We start from the raw sequence: 24,396 nt of genomic DNA on the forward strand, positions 1-24,396 counted from the left end.
GTCTGGGTTCAATTAGAACTTGATTGTGAAAACAAACCCTAAAACACACTATTCAAGTAAGCCATGGGCTGTGCACCCTGGGAGAACATCACAAATAGGCCCCTGCCACCACTTAATATTTTGTCTACCACCAGCTGATGGGAGGTACCAGCCTTGCTCATCGAACCTCACATCAGATCATGACTTGTGGATCAAGAATGATTCTCAATCATTAGCAATATGAAGCTGTTCTTAAAGTTTGCCCATGAGGGAACCTCTAAGATTGGACAGTTCATTTTTCTTCTTCTTCTTTTTTTTTTAACCTAAGGACCTCAGAACGTTTTCAGGTAATAATGAGCTAAACTTCATCACATACCCCAATGGACAGATATGAATTCTCATGTTACAGCTGGGGCTAGAAAACAAAACAATAAGTGATTTGTCCAAGTTACTTAGGGAATCATGTCACATCAGTGAAAGGGTGGGGAGGGTGGCAGGGCAACCCCGTGTTTATTCCCAGGGTGAACATCTAACTCCCCTTTAATAACACAATGAGGCTGTTTTTACATTGGACACACACCAAAGGCAATTGAATATGAGGGTTTAGAAGCAACAGAGTCGTATAAAATTCTTAAGTCGGGGCCAGTGTGGTCTTAATCTTCTGTCAGGATTACTGAGATACGATCAGAGAAGGAGGTAATTACACCAGCGAGGGCTGCATCCAGACAGCACCATACAGAAAAAAACGGCACAATCCTTCTCCTGCTAAGTCATTTGTTGCCCTGAAGCACATATAATAATCTTGACCTTTAGAATGGGATTTACATGTCTAATGATGATTACATACAGGGTAGAAACAAAATTCTGTACGCAGAGGATATTTTAATAGTGGCCAGTTGCTTTGAAATGGCTGCAAGTGACTTCTGGTGGCTTCTACAACAGGGTCTGGTAAATTACAGTCCCCCCATGGGCTAAAGCCGATCAGCCCTTAAGAATGATTCTCACAGTTTTAAGAGGGTATTTGAAAAAGCAAAAAACAAAAAACACAGAAGAATATGTGACAGAGATCATACGCAGCCCACAAAACTAAATTTACTATCTGGCCCTTTGCCAAGAAGTTTGCTAAACCCCAACCTAGAAGAATAAGATTCTATTAAATTTAATTTCTTCCATAGCAACCTGTATTCAATTGTTAGCCCTTCAAAAGTAATCCCAAATGTGAAATGGGTTAGCGTCATTTCCCCTGGATTCATTATAAATGAGTATATTTAAACAAATAACTCAGCAGTTCTGGGAACTGTTGCTCTAAATACAGCAAGAGATCTGGCAGAGAAGGGGACAATTCCATCACTGCCTGGGGTCAACAAGAATCAAAATAGAACAGAAACAGGTCCGGAAAACAATCCCAACGTGGCTTTGTTTCTTCTATTTTGTGTGGGGTGAGATTAGGAAGACTCTTGTTTTAATGTTGACTCCTTCAGAAAACATTCTAAGCCCTCTTCCTCCCTTAGAAAATGAGGGCCTTAAAAAAAATCATCTTACACTCCTTAAAGCAAGGGATTGGGCTCGGGGAGGGGAGGGTGGGGGAGTGTGAACATTCAACGGGTATTCAAGCATTGGCCTAAGTGAATAGATGGTGCCATCCAAATTTGGGAATCCTCAATGTCATAAATCCAAGTTTTCCTTTTAGAAGATTAGAGTCCATTCCTTCTTCAAATATCCCATCTTACTTCCTGAGTGGGCATGTGCATGCAACCTTCAGGAGTGGAATCCCACAAATTAACATCTCTCTAGTACCATGGAGAAGGATTCAAAGTTAAAACTAAGAGGTTTCATTTCTGTAATCTTGGAGGATCTGGGAATCTAGAGATATTCTCAGAATTTGGGTGTTTTCAGGACACAGAGCTCTGCTAAATTGCTCACAATTACTTCTGTGAGCAGTTACGGAAACCCAGGACATGGTATTGTCATTAGTTTTTTAATGGCAAACGTTTACCTCCAGCCAAATGTCAGCCACATCGTGTACAATCATCACGAGGGTCCCACTGCGAATATAATTAGCACACCAAGAGAAGCTCATCAGACTAATAGCAGCCAGGTGGTGGATGATATGAGCTAGAAAATCCTGTAAGATGAGGGAAAATGGAAGCCATTAAGGAAATGCATTTATTTCCCAATCACTGGAAGAGATAATCATAATAATAATGAGACCAATAACTTACATCTGCATGTTTTGAAATTTATAAAATGCTTTTACTTCCTAAACACAATCTTTGTGAGGGAGCTAAGACATGTATTATTCTTGTTGATGAAATCATTTAACGTTGAGATACCATCCCACACTGGATATATGTGTACACACACACTGCCCCCCAACACACAATAAATGCATACACACACAAGCATATTCCTGTGTACACCTACAGTTATTGTTTAGCCCCTGCCTATTCCCCAAAAAGAAAAAAAAGATTGATATAATAAATCTACACAACCATTAAATAAGTTAGTGCATATGAAATAAGACAATCTAGCCTAAGGAAAGCTACTGTCACTGAGTATAATAAAGACTTAAAGGTTTTCTGCAAAGAAAATATACAAATGGCCAATTCACACATGAAAGCATGCTCAATCATTAGCCATTGGGAGAATACAAACCAAAACCACAATGAGATATACTTCACACCCACTAGGATGGCTATAATAAAAAAGATGAACAATAACAAGTGTTGGCAAGGATGTGGAGAAACTGGAACTCTAATACAGTGCTGGTAGGGATGCAAAATGGTGTAGCTGCTTTGTTAAACAGTCTGACAGTTTCTCAAAAGATTAGACATAGAATTACCATATGGCCCAGCAATTCCACTCTTAGGTGGAATGAAAACATATGTTCATGCAAAAACTTGTGTATGAATCCACAGCATTACTCATAACAGCCAAATGGAGGAAACAACCCAAATGTCCATCAACTGATAAGAGGATGAATAAAATGCATCCATCCGTACAATGGACTATTACTTAGCAATAAAAAGTAATGATGTACTGATACATGCCATAACATGGATGAACCTGGAAAACATTACAGTAAGTGAAACAAGACAAACATAAAAGACCAGGTATTATATAATTCCACTTATATAAAATATCCAGAAGAGGCACATCTATAGAGACAAAGGAGATTTATGGTTGCCAGGGGCTGGGGAGGTTGAGAGAAACGAGGAGTGACTGCTAAATGGTATAGAGTTTCTTCTTGGGATGACACAAATGTTCTAAAATTGACTGTGATGATGATTGCACAACTCTGAATATATGTTAAAAACTACTGAATGTATACTTTAAATGGTTTAATTGTGTTATATGTGGATATCTCAATAAAGATGTTTAAAAAACTTAAAGATTTCAGCTTCCTCATAGCCAAAGTAAATACAATACCAATAATAGCTCAATTTATTGAGCACTTGCTGTATATCAGGAAGTTTCTTTTTTTTCTTTTTTTTTTGAGACGGAGTCTTGCTCTGTCACCAGGCTGCAGTGCAGTGGTGCGATCTTGGCTCACTGCAACCTCCACCTCTCAGGTTCAAGCGATTCTCCTGCCTCAGCCTCCCAAGTAGCTGGGACTACAGGCATGTGCCACCACACCTGGCTAATTTTTGTATTTTTAGAAGAGACAGGATTTCACCATGTTGGCCAGGATGGCCTCGATCTCTTGACCTCATGATCCACCTGCCTCAGCCTCCCAAAGTGCTGGGATCACAGGCGTGAGCCTCTGCGCCCAGCCTCAGGAAGTATTTTATACAGATTAACCTGTTTAATTCCCACAACAAACAGAGGAGATAGGAACTATTTTTAGCTTCATTTTATAGATAAGGAGATCAAGTTTAGAGAGTTTAACTAACTAGCTCAAGATGTTAGTGCGTGGTGAAGCCAGGAATTCAAACCCAGGAGACCTGACTCCAGGGCCTGTGCTTTAGCCACCTCCCAATAGCTTTATGTTTCTGAAGATACATCTTTATAAGACATTTAACATATATTTATATTTAATTTTTAAGAAGGTGTTCAATGCACCCGTAAATGATAAAAGGGAAGTCAACTACGGCAAAATCAAAGGTGGGTGAAATACATGATCGACCTACCTGTATATAAAGACTTTCTAAAAAATGATTATTTTCAATTCTATCCCTGGAAAAAATGACTCAACCAATTAAATTTTGATGTATTCCTAGCCTAAAGTTAGTATAGTTAATCTACAGCTATCATTGAGTTACATGGAAATGGAGATTATTTCTATCAGATACTTTCACAGTATGTGCTTATACTTAGATTTCTCATGTCTTAAGATGTCCAGTTGACTGCAGTGTGTCCCTTATAATGGCCACCATCACTCAACACAAACATTTAATCAAGCTAAACTGGTTTATCTAATATTAAATGTCATTGTATTTACCATACAAATTTTGCTACAAACCAGCCTTTTATTTACGGTGTAGTTTATGAGGTATATGCCAAGAGAATTTATCATTTGATCTGAATTGCTTACATATACGACAAAATCTTATGATTGCATTCAGGATTTAACATGGTTTGCTGGATTAGTAATTAGGAATCAGTAACAACCAAACCATTCCTAAAATACCTCACTTTGTGACTTCAGAAGTGGCATTTAGCATGCCTGTGACTGAGTTTCCCTGCACATAAAGCAAAGCTAATAATGCCCGAAGCAAGGTTTCCTCATAAATATATTTGATGAATTAATGGAAAAATGTTTTCAACGTCTTTGAAAATATCAAAAAGTTGTATATGAAGTGGTTTTGCAATCAACTAAAAGATGTGGTTGTAGAATTAATACTACTAACATATTTCTTCTTTGCACTGATGGACATTAAGTTCCCAAGAAACAGACATATAAAGGAAATGTTTTTTTTCTTATTGAACAGAGGTGGAGCTTCAAAGTTAAAGTTTTTATAATGTTTCACTACAAATGTTTACCAAGGCACCAAAGCATGAGTATAATTAGCAATATTTTATGTACTATAAAGCACACAAAAGCAATGAACTGGACCCAAAAACACAGAAAAATACAACTTAAAGATTAGAATTTGGGGCAGGGAGATGGCAATTTTTGAAGAAATTGATAAAGAAGCTTTGTAAATAAGACACTTACCTTTCTCTTGACATCAAAGCCAAGTCTAAATAACAGAGACCAATAAAAACTCATTTCTAAAATGTAGTACCAGTACTGGGATGGCAGCAGGGGCTGAGGAAAAGAAGAGTATTCATTACTTTAAATGCCATCATAGAAGCAACTCATTTTAATGCACTAAAACCTCCTTTTATACCTATTTATATCCCACCAGATTCCATAAAATAACATTGACTGATATTTCAATTTATATTTCAACGAAGGAATTAAAGATAATATTTTAAGGCATTTTATTTCTAAAAGGGTAGAGACAAGTATTCCAAACCCAAGTTGAATGTTTTGTTTAAAAAATTAAATACAACTGCCACAGGTGTAAATGCCTTCAGTTTATTCAGAGTCAAGTTTAAATTTTTAAAAAAATTAAAAATCTTTACTTAGGAACAATGGGAAGTCTTTTCTGCTGGTCCTACAATTTACTTTGATTAATGTTTCTTGAATATTACTCAAAATCTGATGTCTTAATCTCTTTTCTGGTGACAGGCTGGTGGTCAGAATTAGCCCATTCTAAAATGGGACAGTAATAAAATATGCATAATTATTTAAGAACTCCAAAAATATCTTCTGAATAAAATAATAAAATTTTCATAGCTAGAATTTTCTTAACAATTTTATAGTGGGAGTGGTGGTGTTTATTTTAGCTAAGTTGAGACATTATATTACTTAGTGTACCCAATGAATGTTGCCTTCTGATATCTAAGCCCTTGTGCAGTCTCCTCCAACACTGACTATGGACTTGATCCTGGTCTTTGGTCAAGGAGACATAAGCAAATGTGATGCATGCAGAGACTTTATAAGTACCATGTAAGAAACCTGAGCCATCCTGCTGAAGAGGCCACAAAGAAGAGAATCAAGGTGCTGATCGCCAATGCTATGAATGACGTCACCATAGACTTGAGCCATTCCCTAGCCGGCCTCCCAATTGTCTGAAAATGCATGAATGAACTCAGTTGACACCACATGGAGCAGAAACACTGCCTAGCTGAGCCTAGCCTAAATTGACAATCAAATCAAGAGAAAATAAATGGTTGTTGTTTGAAGGCACTAAGTTTTGGGGATGGTTTGTTATGTACCAACGGATAACTGATACACCTGAGAAGATATGAGTAAGTTGGAGACAGAAGATGATAGGCCTGGGGTTTGGTCTAGCTAATTCTTAGGTCCCTTATTGTCTAATTTTATTGAATTCTTTAATGCTGAGGCTAACGTATAACGAATTTTTTTGGTCAACTCCTCATCCTTGATAAGGCCATAAAAGAGTGAGACAGAGTTTCTGCTTTCTTCTATGACAGGACTATATGAGACTAATCCTCCTATTAAGAACAACTTAAAAATCTGGATAAAGGACAAGAAAGAATGTCTGTTTGAAGACGTCAGAGAGCAAGTAGGGCATCCAGAACCTGTGGAGTCAAGATCCTAAAGAGAAGAAAAATGCACTAGAGCGAACCTTTTATTTCAAGTGAACCCTGTTTCTTGAGAAGTACTGTAGGCCCTAAGAATAAATTCAAAGAAGACCATCCTATACATATCATAAATTCTGCATATGCCAGTTTATAAGCAGTATGGAGCCCAGAGACTAAGAAACAGCAGAAGTTAAGCAGTAGTGACTGTAATATCAGAGTACTAGGAAGCAAACTGGTGTTCAGGTTGACTAAGGAAAAGGAGTCATGGTAAGCACTGTAATATTTTATTTGAAATCATTGAAAAGGAATACCCTAGAATATGGGTAAGTTGTGAATATACTTGCCTTCACAAAGACTGAAGTCTACCTTGAATCAGCTCAATCAAGGATTAAAGGTGATCTGCCCTATTCTAACACCTAACAGAAGTGAAAGTAAGTCCTCTGTGAAGGAAGATAATATCATCCTGACCATCTATACTTTTTTGTATACAGTGTCTGTCATTTAATCAAAAGCTATGAAGCATAAGGAGACAGGAGCAAGAGAGAAAACAGATCCACAGGTGGTCAAGAGATGAGACTAATCAGACTTTGACTTTAAAATAACTTCAAAAACAGCTTAAAAGAGAAAATTTCAGTAGAGAACTGGGATCCATTAAAAAATAAAATAAAAATTTGAGAATCAAAAAATATAATAACTGAAATTGAGAATTCAAAAGATGTGTTTAATAGTAGATTAGACATGGCTTAAGAAAAGTACCAGTGAACTGGACAACAGGAAAGTAGAAAATATCCAGAATAGTGAAGTGTCTGACATTTTACCCTAGTTGCAAGCTAACAAGTTAGTTAGCCACAAGTTCCATGAATGCTGGTAGAAGATAGTAGACACCTTGGTAGACAGCATGTAGTTTATGACTCACAGTAATAGCAGTAGCCAGAGTATCAGTATTTGGGCCAATCCTTCCATCCCTAATCCCCATAGGGCTAAAGGTCAGATGATAACTGCACACATCATGGGTTGTGTTATGAGGGGAACAGCCAAAAAGAGAAAAAAGGCATTATGTTCAAAGAAGCAAAACTAAAAGTGACAGCTACATTCTTTTAGAACTGATGAGATCTAGAAGACAATGAAATAACATCATTTAAAGTGAAGGAAAATAAACTGCTAATCTAGAATTCTATACCCAGCAAAAATATCCTTTAAAAGTCAAAGGCAGTATAACATCTTTCTGACAAACAAAATCTGGCATACCCACCATTAAAAAAAATAGCAAAGGTACTTCTTCAGACAGGAGGATAATAATCCCAGATGGAAACATGGAAATATAGGAAGCAAGGAATAGCACAAAAAGGGTAACTTGACCGATTTACAGAACAATAATAGCAATGACTTCTAAGGTTTTAAATATTTGAAGGAGGAGGGTGTATGGTGTATTCTAATTACCTTTCAGTGAGTGGAAAGAGGTAAGAACACCGATTTGTATCAGACTGCAATAAGTCAAGGACATATACAGTAATGTCCAAGATAATTACTAGAAGAACAAAAGCATGTGTAACTGAAAAGTCAATATAAGGGATGAAAAAGAATAGTATTTTTTTTAATTACTTGACTGTCCCATAGAAAAGCAAGAAGGGAGTACAAAAGAAAATGCATCAGGTGGTACAAGTAAAAAATAAATAGTAAGATGGTAGATTTAAACCCAAATATGTAATTACATTAACTGTAAACAAACTAAAGGAATGAGACAAATGAGGGTCAATAAGGATAAGGAAGCTCAAGTAGAAAAAGTGCCAGGGATGACACAGTAGTGAACAAAGAGTAGCAGGGGACCAAGACGTAACTAAGGAGATAATTTGAGGGATCTTGGTGTTCAAGTAAGGGGAGGAATATGTTATAGTGGACTTACCTGTTTGGGATAGCCATTCCAAACCTCCCATAAGTCATATAGCCAAGGTTTCTGAAAGAAGAAAAAAAAAAAGAGCCAACAGATGAGAAATAAATTGGTCGGTGTCAAAGGTCAATTTTGGCAGAAAACCTAAGCTCTTCCTTATGTCATTTACAGCAGGCAAAGATGCACAGGAAATTGACCTTTGCCATATTCTTTTGCTTCTATTGCACGTATTTCTCCCTCTGTAGACTATTTCTTACATATTCCTATATAACATCTCTGTGAAATTCACTACTAGTGAATCTAAGATAAGTAAATAGTGCTGTCTCATAGAGGAAATGGTTTCAAACAAGTAACTGTATGAACCAAATTATTTCTAAACCAATTGTATTATTGCTTCTGCAGCAATAAAAAAATCTTGAGACATCTGTAGCAATATTTGAGACAAATGTTGAATCTTGAGAGAAATCTCTAAAACTGGTTATCTTATTGAAAGTACTATACCCTAAAGGAATTCACAGACAAGAATTTCAAAAATTAAAGACAAATTCCAATCGAAGATATAAAAAGATAACTTACATCATAAAGAAACGCAATTCCAGCAACAGTGATCATTAAGTAAAATGCAAATCTCCAGCTGCCAAAAGAAAGAAAAATCTTTACTCCCTTGTAAAGGTAACTGAGATTTGAGGAGAAAATGATTAGGTATGGCAGATTTTACAAAGAACACACATTCTGGAGTCAGACAAATCAAAGTTTCTATCCTGGCTCTGCCCCACTTATTAGATGGTTACAACCTTAGGTAAATCATGTAACCTCAGAAGGCCTGACTTTCTTACCTGTAAAATGAGAATAAGAACACTACCTCAAAATGTGAAAAGAACTGAAAATCTGTGATAACAGGTCTAGCATAAAGTAAGCAACAATAAATGGCAGCCATTATTCTGGTTATAATGGCTAGCCCAGTTCCAGGCACACAATAAACAGTGGATTGATATTAGCATTATCAGGAAGGAACCTAATAAGTTTAATTATTTCTCTTATCCCCATTTAATTCCCAGTTAAAAGGTTTTTATGTGGCCAGACTTTACTCTTTTCTCCTAAAAGTAGGTTTTGAAAGAGAAGATTTTCCTCATGTATGGAGAAAAACCTGTAGACTAAGAGACTGGAAAGACACATCAAAAAATTGTAACAAATGGATCTTATTTAGATCCTGATTCAAATCAAGAAATTGTAAAGAAAATTATGAGACAATCAGGGAAATCTAAACACTGAATATTTTCTATTATTAAGTAAAAATCTTTTATTAAATAAAAAATCATAAGATACTGATATTGCAATTATGCTGAAAATAAAGAGTTCTTATCTTTTCGAGATACATGCTAAAATACTTACAAATGAAATAACAGTGTCTGATATTTGCTTCCAAACCTATCTGTGGTAGGCGAGAGGTGTAGTGGGGATAGAGAGGACATAGGATTGGCCTTGAGTTGATCAACTAAAGCTGGTGATGGGTAATAACACTTAATTCATTATGCAGTCTTTCTACTTTAATATATGCTTGCAACGTTCCAAATAAAAAGTTTTTTAAAGTTATGTCTATTTTATCTAATGATTGCTGGAGAAATAATAATATTAAAATAAGATGTTTTCTTATCTTTGTGTAAGGCCTTACAGTGCTTTCCTTGACACACCTGTAAGATAGGACATAGGAATGTAGATAAATACCCATTTTGTAAATGTAGAATCAGAATCAGAAAAATGAAGCCATCTCCCCAGCTCATGTAGCTAAGAAGGAGGAAAGCTGCACCTTGAAGTGCAGCTCTTTGGACTCTGCATCGAGGAGTGTTTCCTGAACATTATCATTTCCCCTAAGCTAGACGACAGTCTTTCTTCATGGCTTGTTTTGATAGGAGAAAAAAGTAGGGTTCAATAGTCAAAAAGTTGAACCATAAAAATATCCAAAAGACATTTTACAAAATGAAAGTTGAAACTTTACTGCACTCATTTGATTTGCTAAGAGCATTTCCTTGGCTCCCTGGATTATCTTGTCCAAACAAAACCCACAAAATATAGGAGATGATAAGGCCAGCCAACCCACAAATGAAGCCAAAAGTGTGGGTGCTCCCCCGGTGTTTATTTCCCAAGCATCTATTGATTTCTCAGCTCCATCGGGCACGGTGCTGCGCACACATGCGCTATGTCACATTTTTCTTTTCACAAGATTATGAAGCCGATGCTGTAATTAGTCCCTTCTTACAGACTGTTGCTAACAGCCAATATCCTAAAGGAAATTGAAGCTAAGAAAGATCATAAAACTTACGGAAGTTTGAGGAGTAATACTCAGATCCAAGAGTACAGCCAAGTCTCACATGTTTCTGGACAAATCCTACTCAGAGAAGCCCTAAACCAGGGATTCTCAAAGTGTGTGCCAGAGAACCCTGAGGTCAGAATATTTTCAGAATATTACTAACACATTATTTGCTTTTTTTCCTGTCATTCTCTCACAAGCGAGGTCATGTGACATGTGATCACAGTATTGCTCTGAATGAAATTGCACTGATGAAACGTGCGCTTGTGTAGTCTCCTGTTTTATAAATATCTCAGTTTTCACTTCGAATACAGTAAATACCAATAGGTATAACACACACAAATGCTCTTTGGCATTTCCAAGAGTTTTTCAGAGACCAAGGGGTCTTGACACCAAAAAGTTGGAGAATTGCTGCACTTCACTGAAAAGATGAATGATAATATCCTTGTCAATGTCATTTCACTAGTTTCACCTAAGAGTAAAACTTCTTTTATTTTTTTCCAGGAAAGAATGAGATAAACATAAACGTGGGGGGAGAGAAAACCCACTGAAAAGCCATTCAGAAACGAATTGGTTGGGTAACAATGGTGATAGTGAAAGGAGGGACTGCAGGGTGCAGCCAGGGAGGAATGGGCAGAGTGGTGAGAGACACTGCTGGGGCCAGATGGGAGGCCTGTGGTGGGGACGCTGCATAGAGTGGGCCGTGGACTGCATGGATCAGATGAGGGTAAGGCCGCATCCACCCAGCCGGGGAGAGCCCTTTCTCCAACACTGAGGAGTTCTCCTACCTGGATACCTAAGGACTTGGTGTTCCTTCTTATTGCTAGGTGGAAATCTGTATTTTAAAATGAAAAAGTGGTCAGCTAATGTGGAATTTGATTTTTTTTTTTTAAAAAAAAGGGCCCATTATGTATTAAAATCCTGAATGCTGTGGAATAGAGCACAAGGGTCACCATGAGAGAAAGTCACCAAGGAACAAACACACTGAACCCAACGTGCCTGGGGGCTCATCCCTCTGGATGTTACAAAGGAATTTTTGCCTGTTGGAAAGTAATTTTAGGAGCTGGGGTTAAGAAATAAGCGCCCGGAGATTTTCAAAAGGCTTGAGGTTAGGTAACTCATGCTGTGATTTCTGTAGCACATCCCACAGCTGATTTTTAAAAAGCAGAGTCCCTGTACAATTCAACATGGCACTAGGTTTAGTCTGTTTATCTAGTCCATAATAACTTTTAACTTAGAATAAACATGTGACATTGCTAAAGAATAAGATAAGGCTTAAATTTTATTCATGGGCCCACTTACTGTGTCCTGAATATATTGCATAATTTCCTGCTTTGTGTCTTTGCTTTACTTGAAAATACTGCCTCAAACCTGCTTTCTTTTCTTTTGGCAACCTGACCCATTCTTCAAGGTCCAACCTATGTCTTCCCTTCTCTAGAAAGCCTTTCTTTAACTACTTCAGCCATGCTGATGCCATCACCTCTAAATTCCCACGACACATCTAAACATGATGTTGTATCTGCTGGTGTACACTCCCATGTGCCACTGGGGTGGCGCGACAATAGATGTTGTGGTTTCGTGTGTGATAATCTGGCCTCCCTAATTCACTGTTTAAGGCCGGTAACCACGACTCACATGTTACCCCCTTCTTAAAATCTAGAACGCCACAAAATCTAGGACAGTGCTATGCACAGAAAAGATACTAACCTGTACCTCTGCATTGCCTGACTGATTGATAAGGGTAACTCAAAATTCCCTTCTCCAGCCTGAACTCTGGAAGAATTTTAGTAGGCTTACTGACATGGCCAGATGCCCAAATATTACTCAATTTAAGGATCCTCTGCTTGCTGGGAGGTAAGCATTAGGTGCCAGGGGCAGTATGATACAACAAGAAATAGTATCGGAATAGGAGTCAGAAGATCTGAATGCAACAGCCATTCAAACACCTAAGAGACCCTTAAACTAGATGGATGTGCAGTTTCTCATTGAAACAGGATAGCCCCAACTTCCCTGACTGTCTCACATCATTGGCAGAAGGATCAATAATAATAATAATTATTATTATTATTTTTTTTTTTGAGACAGAGTCTTGCTCTGTCACCCAGGCTGGAGTGCAGTGGCGGGATCTCGGCTCACTGCAAGCTCCGCCTCCCAGGTTCACGCCATTCTCCTGCCTCAGCCTCCCGAGTAGCTGGGACTACAGGCGCCCGCCACCACGCCCAGCTAATTTTTTGTATTTTTAGTAGAGATGGGGTCTCACCATGGTCTTGATCTCCTGACCACCTCTACTAAAAATCCTGGGAAACCAAGAGGATGGGCTGTGCACCCTACAGGAGGGCTGGGGTCATGAGCCACGCCACACAGAGAGGCCTTCTCAGTGTTCTGAGAGGGAACACACGTCCTTGCAGACATTCTCTGCTCTTACAGTTGTGATGGTTGGATACAGGTGATAAAGTCTGGTGACTTAGGGCCAACCCTGACCCTAAGAAAAGAGAAACACCAGTTAAGACATTTTTATGATTTTTTCTGGGTTTCAGGCTGAGTACATAACATCTCCTGTTCATCTTAGAGAGTTCATAGTGTGGGAGTCTGTCTGAATCTATTCTGGTTCGGGAGGCCCGATAAATAGAGTTCAGAGCTTACTTGATTTATAAAGGAGTGGAGGAAGCAGAGAAGGCAAATATGTGAGGAGCCTAAAACACCACATCAGTGGGTGACAGAGCTGGGTCTGAACCCTCCCTCTGCTGCTCCGGCAGTATTCTCTCTGCAAGGACCACTCAGCTCCAGATAGGACGGCAGCATTCCTAAAGCTTGGCCCATCCTCCTTACCAAGCTTCCTGGAATTTCTTCAGCCTGGAAGGCCTCTCTTGATTCCGCCGACTCCTAAACCATCTTTCCACCTGGCGCTCCGTCAAGTTACACTTCTTTGCCAGTCCATAAATATCAGTCTGAAAAGGGATGAAACGCATAAATGAGTGATAAAGAACAGAGTCAGACTGGCAGGCAGACAAGAGACGGAGATTGAGTTACAAGAGCTTCGGTACTGGGGATGAGAGAAATTCTGTCATGAGACCTGGAGCCAGGGAATTTACCTCTTTTGCTTATGGAATCACATATATGCACACATACCAAAAAACAAAATGTTACTATCCCAGCTCTCTAAGTTACTGAGAAAGATCAATTCTCCATACGCTGGCAGCAACCCGGCATTCAAGTTGCATGTGTGAGCTCACTTGTTCAGCTAAAATGTGCTTAGGACTTCCCAGGCGCCAGGTAGAGTAGCATAGTTTAAATCAAATCCAATAAAATCCAATCTCCTCATTTTTCCTATGGGGAACTGAAGCCCCAAGAAGTTCAGTGACTTGTCCAAAACCTAAAATTAGAAGCAAAGTGTGGACGAGAACTTAGGCTAGTGCATTTTGTTATTTCACATGATCTTTCTCACAGCTCCAGAAGATAATGCAGGAAAAACTCCAACCAGTGTTAGCCATCCACTTTTACATTTAATTATATAGAGAGCCTATTTCAAACTAATCCAAAATAATTTCAATAACAAAAATAACAATTGCAAAATATGATGATGATGATTGCTTCTCTTTTGGGAAGTAGAAGTTGTAGGCTATGATTTAAAATTGGAAACAATATGAATGATAGATCTGCTCAAATGTTACCAATTCGAAGGTCTCCCCAAGCCAGACAAGAAACATAAATGACCAAATGGACCAGGTCTGTTTCACAGTGGGATTTTAACATAGGCAAGTTTTGTACTTTAAACCTATGGTAACCTTCTCCACGTCTACAAAGAAATATGCTCATAAAAAATGCCAGCCCTCTTGATTTCTTATTTCCCAAGTAAGAATAAGAAATATTTCTGGCTGGGTGTGGTGGTTCACGCCTGTAATCCCAGCACTTTGGGAGGCCGAGAAGGCGGTCAGGAGTTCGAGATCTGCCTGGCCAATATGGTGAAACCCCATCTCTACTAAAAATACAAAAATTAGCTGGGCGTGGTGGTGGGCTCCTGTGATCCCAGCTACTCAGGAGGCTGAGGCAGGAGACTTGCTGGAATCTTGGGGGCAGAGGTTGCAGTGAACCAAGATTGTGACACTGTACTCCAGCCTGGGCGACAGAGAAGGACTCCATCTCTAAATAAATAAATACATAAATAAATAAAAGAAACATTTCCATTTCCTCTTAATTCTATTTTGTGAAAAATAAAATGGCATAAAACTGACCTTCAGCTTCAGTGCTGAGGAAAGAAGTGGGAGCCGTATGGATACAGCAGGCAGAGAAGCACACATCATGTCCCAAAAGGCCAGGCATGACCAAGATCTGGCGGACGCTTCCAGAGAAAACGTGCAGACCCAGGATTTTGATGAGAAATCACTAGGTTTTTAAAAATGTTGACCAATCCCTCAAAGTAAATTTAAACCAATTGTGGATGAGTATTGTGAGGGCCAAATAAAGCCTGCCTGTGGGCCAGATGGCTGAATACCCAAAAGTCTGTGACCAGCCGGATAGCTTCTGCTAGATTATCTTACATGTTCCCTTGCAGGAAGGAAAGAACACTGCAGTGTCAAAGCAATCGGATATGGTAGGAAGGGCAGGAAGCTGAAAACAGAAGATCCAGTTCTGCTACCTCCTAGCTATGTAGGCGTAAGCACCGCACTTTGACCCCCATGGAAAATGGGATATTAAGAGAATGTTTGCTACCCACCTCCGAGGGATGATTTGAGGACCAAGGGATTAGAATGTGCTAATGAAACTACTGAGTGCCGTGTCAGTGCTAGAGATTTTGATGACCAAACACAGAAAGGAAACCATGGACTACAAATCATTTAAGAAAAAAGTATTCCTTTACTTTTAACATAATTTGCAAACACGAACAGACCCCCAACATGGAGAATACAATTCAAATTCTGTTGGCTGGTGCACAGCAGGACATATTCTGGCATGCTGCTGCACTACACTCTGTGTGCTCAGACCGAAGGGGCTCTGGGCCTAGCTTTACTATTTCAAGTGTTTTGCCATTCATTCATTTGAAAGGATTTAAAGAGTCTCTAAGCACTGGTGCCAGGCACCATCTAGGTGTGGGAGATTCAGTAGTGAGCAAAACAAACTAAAGTCCTTGTCTTTATTCTGGAATATTCTCAGACCTTAGAACAACTCAATTTTATTCTCCCATGACTTCTGCAAATAATTGCCCAATGAATTATTAATAAACATATATAGAAGACAGTAACTGTTTATGAGTCGAAGCTTTTTTTTTCTATTTTGGAGTACAGAAGAATCTAGTTGGAAGTCAGTCTTGTCAATACTGGCCTCATGCACTATGATATTATTAAGAGAGAAAACTCCTTGCAAACAAAAGTGTCTAAAAGTGTTTTCTTGAATTAATGTGTGAAACATGAAGCATTTATTGACCATCTGTAATGACCAGAAAATAGTGCAAGATGTCATGGGAACAAAAACAAGCATGATTAAGAAACAAAGTGACAATTCCCTTGAGTGAGGAAGACATGCTTAAACACGCTCCTTTGGAAGTCAGTGCATGACAGGCACAAAGTTAATGGTACAAATAATAATAGCTGACCTTTACTGAGCATCTACTATGTGCCAAGCACTATTCTAAGCACTTTATATGTATTAACTCAATTTGATCCTCACAAGAGCCCTATGAGATAAGCAATATAATTATGCTCAATTCACAGAAGAGGAAACTGAGGCATGGGAAGTTTAATCTGTCCATCTCCACACAGAAAGTCGGTGACAGAGCCAGGCTCTAACCTTACATGGTCTGTCCTCACAATTTGTATTTTTAGCCTCTACACTACCTATTGCTGTGAACATTCAGAAGTGGGTTGGAACATGCAGGAAAGGTCTCTCTCAGACACAGCCTCAAGGAGAGGTCGAATGGCCTAAAGGAGGAGTGCTGAATGGGGCCAAGAGACCTGGCCTCTGGACTGAAAAGGGAACCCTCTGTGCCAGTAGAGGAGTCACCCTACCTCTTTGGCTCTCACATGTCTTCCCTGTACAATAAATAGCACTAGAAGAGGTTTTTGCTCTAAAAATGTTTGAATCTATGAATGACTCAAGCTAGCACACTGGAATACCTTTATTGAATGTAGTAACTGGCTTGAGTTCAGTCTCACAGTGCCACGTTTTCTTCAGATCTCTTCCAGAACTTACTTGCTCTGCATCAGTTCATATATATATAATTATTTTTTATTTTGCTAAGGAAAGGGCTAGATAATAAGTTCCACTGTTACTACACGTTACCTATAGCACTATAATTGATCTGTTGGTCAGAGTTGTTGGTCTTACCCCAAACATCTGGAAGTTGTTCTTGATACGCACACATACACACGTTATCAGACACACACCTGCATAGATACAATCATAAGAGAACTGTGCAATATCACAGACCAAAACTCTCACTGAGGCTCATGTGTATAGTATTTTAGGCCTCATCAATACCATGTTATGCCCTTCTGTGCTAACCAGCCCACAGTAGATGTCATATGCATGGAAGTGTTTTGTTTTCCTGGTGCAGCCTATAGCTGCTGAAGAAGCATCCTTGGGTCTGTGTACTCCATTGTTTCAATCAAGTCAGGTGTTATCTACAAATATTACCAATGCAATATTCTACTGTTTAGGTTTTGAATACTTTTTTTTAGTGGTAATACCCTAATCTTGAATCAGTACAAAACTGTTTTTCATCCACCCAGCAACTTGTCTTATTACCTCAGCCATAATTAAGCAAAGTGCTATCTGCATGACACTGGCCAGGTTAATGTGGTAGGTATGGTGAGACGAGTTTGTTTCTGTATCTGCAATTGCTATTAAGTCATGAACTCTGTCCTCCTGTATTACATTCTATCTTCCTAAGTCCTAGTGCTTTTAGGCTATGGACATTTTGCTGGCCAAATTATTGTTATCTTGATATACTATACGAATACTGCCTCAGTTTTTTAATCTCAGAGCAATATAATTTAGGAATCTTATATTCCTTCACCTTTTTGGTTCAATAGATGAAGCTAACACTTCGGGGGTGATATATAACTGTTTTTTTTTTTTTTAGATGGAGTCTCACTCTGTCACCAGGCTGGACTGTGGTGGCGCAATCTTGGCTCACTGCAACCTCCAACTCCCTGGTTCAAGCTGTCCTCCTGCCTCAGCCTCCCAAGTAGCTGGGATTACAGGCACTCGCCACCACGCCCAGCTAATTTTTGTATTTTTAGTAGAGACAGGGTTTCACCATGTTGGCCAGGATGGTCTCGATCTCCAGACCTCGTGATCCACCCACCTTGGGCTCCCAAAGTGCTGGGATTACAGGCGTAAGCCACTGCGCCCAGCCACTTTTTTTTTCCTTCTTACTGGATGCAAATGTCAAAATTCTGTCTTTATTAAACCATACTGTAATGTCAGTTGAGTTAGAATAATTACTATAAACACAGCACCAGTCTTTAAAATATATTTTTAACATTCCATTTACAGATAAAGAACTCACTGTAGCATGGTGGAAAGGTCACTGGACTGGAAGTATGGGCCAGGTTCTAGCTTTTGATTCAGCCACTCATTAGCCGAACGACCACTCATTTTCCTTTGGCTGGGCCTTAAGTTTCCTCATCTTAATCATGAAAAAGAAAGACTACCACCCTATAAACCTTTTCAGCTATCCTTAGTTTTCCTTTGGCCATTTTTTCTCCATAGCAGAGAAGCTTGGTAAGGACCAAATTTTCTAGATAATTTTAAATATTCTGAAAAGCTGACTAGAAGCTCTTAGCAATAGCAAGGATAGCAACGAATTGGTATTATAGCACTGTTCTTCCCATTTTATACAAAGTATTACTAAAGTTAGTTGTTCCCAAACAAAGAAGGATAATAAAGGACCCAGAAAGAGCCCTATCTTTTTTTAAACACAGCTAAATAATTTCCCATTTGAAACATATAAAGGGATGCTTAGGTATTATTATCACCAGTGGTAACAAAAGGATTTAGATGAATGATGGCAGTCATTTAAAGCACATGGGAATAAAAAACATATAAAGATGGCTTGTCAGACTATTCCTAGGTTACAAAAGCAGTCAAATACAGGAGCTGAGGGCAGAACAAGTTAGAGCCAGCTCTCACTTGCTATGAGCAATTCTGGACACCATATCTCACGCGAGGTGGTCAAACCTCAATGTGCTTTCATGTGCAGAGAAACCACGAGGAACAAATTAGAGCAATTGTCATAGTAGAGGCAACTTAATTCAGGAAATAAAGTTCAGGACCCTCAGAAATCTATTTATCCTAGAACTGTGTTAGCATATGTACTTGATTTTTAAAATTACTGGGGATAGCTGTTTGTATTCATCATAGAGGTTGTATCACTTTTGGAGAAGTTTTGTTTCATCTGTCATTTTAACTGTGGAAATATAACAAAACTGGAGTGAACACTAGACTTACTTAGACATTATTTTTTTAACTATTAGATTAAAAACTTTTTCTTTTTTCTTTTTCTGAATGTATTTAAGCATGCAGTGCACTACAACATAAATGAAGGAAACTTTATATTGTGAAGAGAACTGTGACTCTTAGAAATTGTCTCTGGAGAATAGTCGGGGCACAGCATATTTCTGAGTATGTTGAGGCTTTGAATAAAATAACAGTCCTACTCATGAAAGCGACCCCAATGAACATTTTCATAATGTGTGTAATGTATTTTGATGATGCCACAATCATCAAAATTGTCAGATATGGGCTTCTCTGCCCTAACAATTATATTTCTTCATCTGTATACTTTGTATATATTTGACCATTAAAAATTAAATGTTGACCTTTATTCCCAAATTATGGCACTGATCATTAGTGCTCTACACTATAGTTAAATACAATAGTTCAACTGTTAATATTTGTTATTTTATATTATCATATGTATCACACTTGGGATGTTCTAAACCTGTCAACAGAACAAAGAAACAATAAATCCAAGTGAATCCAGATCATTTGCTGGTCAACTAGAATAGATTTCTTGCACACACAAGGTAAGCTATAGATAATTGAACCATTAAGAAAGAAGATTTTTAAGTCGAAAAGCAAAGAATTTGTACTTACTTGCAATGGTTGCCTTGTGGAATGTTTGAAAAAATTCTCTAAGACAGTATTTGGTGTAACCTTTCGAACTGTCTCTTTAATGCCAAATGATTTTGCTAGAGGTGAAGCAACAAATCTACAAAAATATGAAAAGAAAAAAAGTTCAAAATCTAAGAATAAATCCACGATGACACCAGAAAATTAAAGCTGTAACTTCAGGTTTCTAATGAAATCAGTCATTTGTTTATGTTGACACTGGGGCTACGTACAGCCAAAATCTGTCTCTCAAAACAGAAAAGTTTCAGTCCATACAAAAAAGCAATGATTAAAAAAAAAACACTTGCACAATTCTAAAATGCATTTTATGTTAATCCAAACATATTTATAGATAAGATTTAGGAATTAGAATAAGCTGTTCTACTTAGAATTTTAAAGACTCCCGGGGATTAAAATAAATAGGAATTTTGTTAGAAAATGTTTTATTTGGTGTTATTATCTTAAAGAAATTACTACATTCCCATTTCAAGTTCTAACATACGAAAAAATGGCACAACTCTAGGGCAAATACGTAATAATAGGATTGACGGGTGGTAGGGCAATTATACATTTAACTTTATAAAAAACTGGCAAGTTGTTTTCCAAAGTGACTGTACTATATTGCATTCCCACCAATAATTTGTCAGAGTTCCAGTTAGCCCATATCCCTGCCAACACATGGTACTGTCAGCCTTGGCAATTCTACTGGGTGTGTAGTGGTTTTTGTTGATTTTCCACTATAATCTTTATTATTTCCTATCTTCTACTTGCTTTAAATTTAGATTGATTTTATTTTTCTAGTCCGTTAAGGTGGAACTTTACATTATTGATTTGAGGTCTTTCTTCATTTTAAATATAGGTGTTTGCAGCTGTAAGTTTCCCTTCAAACACTGCTATTGCTGTATTCTATTAAGTTTTAGTATGGCATTTTCTTTTTCATTCATCTCAAGTATTTGCAAATTTACCTTGTGATTTCTTCCCTGACTGGTTGGTTATTTAGAAATATGTTATCTAATTTACATGTATTTGTTAATTTCTTGATTTCTTTCTGTTATTGATTTCTTTTTTTTTTTTTAAGAGATGAGGGTTTTGCTATGTTGCCCAGGCTGGTCTCCAACTCCTAGTCTTAAGTGATCCTCCTGTCTCAGCCACCCGAAGTGTTGGGATTACAGACATGAGCCACTGTGCCTGGCTGTTATTGATTTCTAATTTTATTTCATTGTGGTTGGAAAACATACTTTCTATCTAAATCCTTTCACATTTATTGAGACTTGTTTTGTAGCCTAATATGTAATCATGCTGGAGAATGTTTTTTGTGCATGTGAGAAGAATGTGTATTCTGGTGTTGTTGAGTAGAGTGTTCTATAGATGTTTGTTACGACTAGCTGGTTTACAATATTGTTCAAGTCTTCTATTTCCCTGTTGATAATCTTCTGCCTAGCTGTTCTATCAATTATTGAAAGTGAGTATTGAAGTTTACAACTATTATTGTTGACTTGCCTGATTGCCCTTTAATTCTGTCAGTTTTTACTCCACGTATTTTGGAACTCTGTTGCTAAGTGTGTATATGTTTACAATTGTTATATCATCTGGACAGATTTACCCTTTTATTATTATAAAATGTCCTTTGTCTGCAGTAACAATTCTGAAATCTATTAAATTACATTTTGTCTGATATTAGTACAGCTACTCCAGTCCTCTTTTAGTTACTGTTTGCATGGTATATCTTTTTCCATCCTTTTACATTCAACCTATTTGTGTCTTTAAACAAACAGGTGTCTTTTGTGGACAACATATAGTTGGATCGTGTTTTCCTAACTATTTTATCTATGCCTTTAATTATTTAATCCATTTACATTTAAAGTAATTCCTGATAAAATAGGATTTATGTCTGCCATTTTGCTATTTGTTTTCTATACATCTTATGCCCTTTTGTTTATTTGTCCATCACTACCTTATTTTGTGTTAAATAGATATTTTCTGATGGACCATTTTAATTTTCTTGTCTTTTTGGTTTTTTACTATTTTAAAAGTTATTTGCTTAGTGATTCACTTGGGGATTATAATTGACATATTAATTTATAACATCTTACTTCAGATTAATATCAAATTAATTTCAATAGGGTTAAAAAACTCCATTCCCCGTCCCCTTCTTTGTGCTCTTGTCTCACAAATTACATCTTTATAAATTGTGTTCTGATCAACACAGATTTAGATTATTGTTTTATACAATTGCCTTTTAAATCAGATAGGAGAAAGTGTTAAAAACAAAAAATATGCTTATACTATCATTTTATTTTCTTATGTAGTTACTTTTACTGGTGCTATTTCTTCATGTGGATTTGAGTTACTATCTTGTGTACTCTCATTTCAGTCTGAAGGACTTCCTTTCAAACTTTTTGTATGCTAGGCCCACTAGTAATGAATTCTCTTGGTTTTTGTTTATTTGAGAATGTCTTAATTTCTCTTTCATTTTGAAGGAGAGTTTTGTTTGGTTCACAGTGTTTTTCTTTCAGCACTTTTTATGTGTCATTCCGCCGCCTTTGGCCTACATAGATGCTGATGAGAAATCGATTCCTAATCATAATGAGAATTCCTTGTATGTGATGAGTTGTTCCACTCTTGCTGCCTTCAAGATTCTTTCTTTTTGGCTTTTGACAAGTTGATTATGACATATGTAGATGTAGTTCTCTTTAAATGTATCATACTGGGAGTTTGTTTAGCTTTTTGGATATGCAGATTCAGAATTCAGGGAAATTTTCGGCCATTTATTTCTTCACATTTTTGGGGTCCTATTTATTCTCTTCTCTCCTTCTGGAATTCCCATTATGTGTATGTTGGTATTCAAGTCTCTAAGACTATTTTTCTTCATTCTCTTTTATTTTGCTGTTCCTCACACTGCTGACTCTTTCTTATGCCTGCTCAAATATGCTATTGAGCCTCTCTCATGAAATTTTGATTTCAGTCATTGTAGTTTTCAACCCTAGAACTTCTATTTGGTTCTTTGTTATAATTTATAGTTTCAATTACTTTATTGATGTTCTTGATTTGGTGAGACACTGTTTTCATGCTTTCCTTTAGATCTTAAGCATGTTTTTCTCCAGTTCTTTGAACATATTTAAAATAGTTGACTTAAAGCCTCTAATAAGTCCACTATCTAGGCTTTCTCAGAAACACTTGCAATAATTGCTATATTTCCTGTGTATAGTGCATAATTTTTTGTTTCTTTCCATGTCTCATAAGTTTTTGTTGAAAATTGGACATGTTAAATACTATAAGGTGGCAACTATAAAAATCAGATTATTTCTCCTCCCCAAAGTTTGTTGTTTTTGCTATTTGTCATTGTCCATTTGTTTGCTTAGTCACCTTTTTTCTTTTCATATATATATATATATATATATATATATATATATATATATATATATATTTGTTTTGAGATGGAGTCTTGCACTGTCGCCCAGGCTGGAGTGCAGTGGCATGATCTCAGCTCACTGCAAGCTCCACCTCCCAGGTTCATGCCATTCTCCTGCCTCAGCCTCCTGAGTAGCTGGGACTACAGGTGCCTACCACCACGCCCAGCTAATTTTTTTTATTTTTAGTAGAGATGGGGTTTCACCATGTTAGCCAGGATGGTCTCGATCTCCTGACCTCATGATCCACCCGCCTTGGCCTCCCAAAGTGCTGGGATTACAGACGTGAGGCTTAGTCACCTTTTTTGAATTAATCTGTAAAGTCTTCTTTGTGATGTGTGAGCACTGAAGGCTTTATTAGGTTAGCTTAGTGGTCAGCTAATGATTAGACAGAGATTTCCTTAAATGCTTAGAACCAGTAAGTCTCTCAGTCTTTCCTGAGGAGCTCTGTGCATATGTTGGAGCACACCTTCAACATTTAGCTAGGCAGTAAGCAACTCTGCCTTAGCCTTCACTTAATGTTTGCACAGAGCCTAAAGGTCATTCAGAGGTGAGAGCTTATGGCCTTCCCAGGTCTTTCCTGAGCATGCAGATAGCCATGAACATGCATTAACCCTTACACAGGTCTTCTAGATTTCCAAGAACATGTTGGAGTTTTTCAAAGCCTTCAATGCACATCTCATGTTCTAGGTTTTCCTTTAAAGCTTTTTGGTCATTTTATTGTTTGCCCTAATTGTTATCCACTGTCTTAGACAGTTATGAAGTTAATCAAGTGCCTCTAATTGTTTTAGACAAACACCCTCAGGGAAAAGGCTTTTTCACTGGGTGAGCGCTGAGTCAGGTCAGATAAAGACAGCATTGTGAGTAGTGCCTTCCAGAGAACCATCAGACAGGTCAGATAGTGACAGTCCCCTGATAATGAGCTTTGAAGGAGCTTCTACTCTGTTCTGCTCCTTTCAGTGGCAGCCAGGTTGCTAGTTTCCACTGTAATTGTGGGCCATTGGTTCTTCAAGGCTATCCAGAGATGGAGAGGGCAAGATGGGAACAGGGCAAGTTAAAAATGTCACACAGCTTGCTATTCCTTCCAAGAATCTGCTGTTTTT

The 24,396-nt window shown here is 37.8% G+C and overlaps 1 protein-coding gene across 9 annotated transcripts in view; it reads right to left on the reverse strand.

The window, feature by feature from the left end:
* The window catches only part of CERS3 (ceramide synthase 3), a 144,289-nt gene that overhangs the window by 70,554 nt on the left and 49,339 nt on the right, over nt 1-24,396 (reverse strand). For all 9 annotated transcript variants that reach the window (NM_178842.5, NM_001290343.2, XM_011521357.3 and 6 more), the window contains 6 exons: nt 19,869-19,983; nt 13,602-13,720; nt 9,041-9,098; nt 8,480-8,530; nt 5,138-5,230; nt 1,976-2,104 (listed from right to left, as the gene is read on the reverse strand). In NM_178842.5, coding sequence (NP_849164.2) covers nt 1,976-2,104; nt 5,138-5,230; nt 8,480-8,530; nt 9,041-9,098; nt 13,602-13,720; nt 19,869-19,983 — 565 coding nt within the window. The remainder of the gene's footprint in view (nt 1-1,975; nt 2,105-5,137; nt 5,231-8,479; nt 8,531-9,040; nt 9,099-13,601; nt 13,721-19,868; nt 19,984-24,396) is intronic.

The sequence above is a fragment of the Homo sapiens genome, chromosome 15, assembly GCF_000001405.40.
Source record: "Homo sapiens chromosome 15, GRCh38.p14 Primary Assembly".
NCBI lineage: Eukaryota > Metazoa > Chordata > Mammalia > Primates > Hominidae > Homo > Homo sapiens.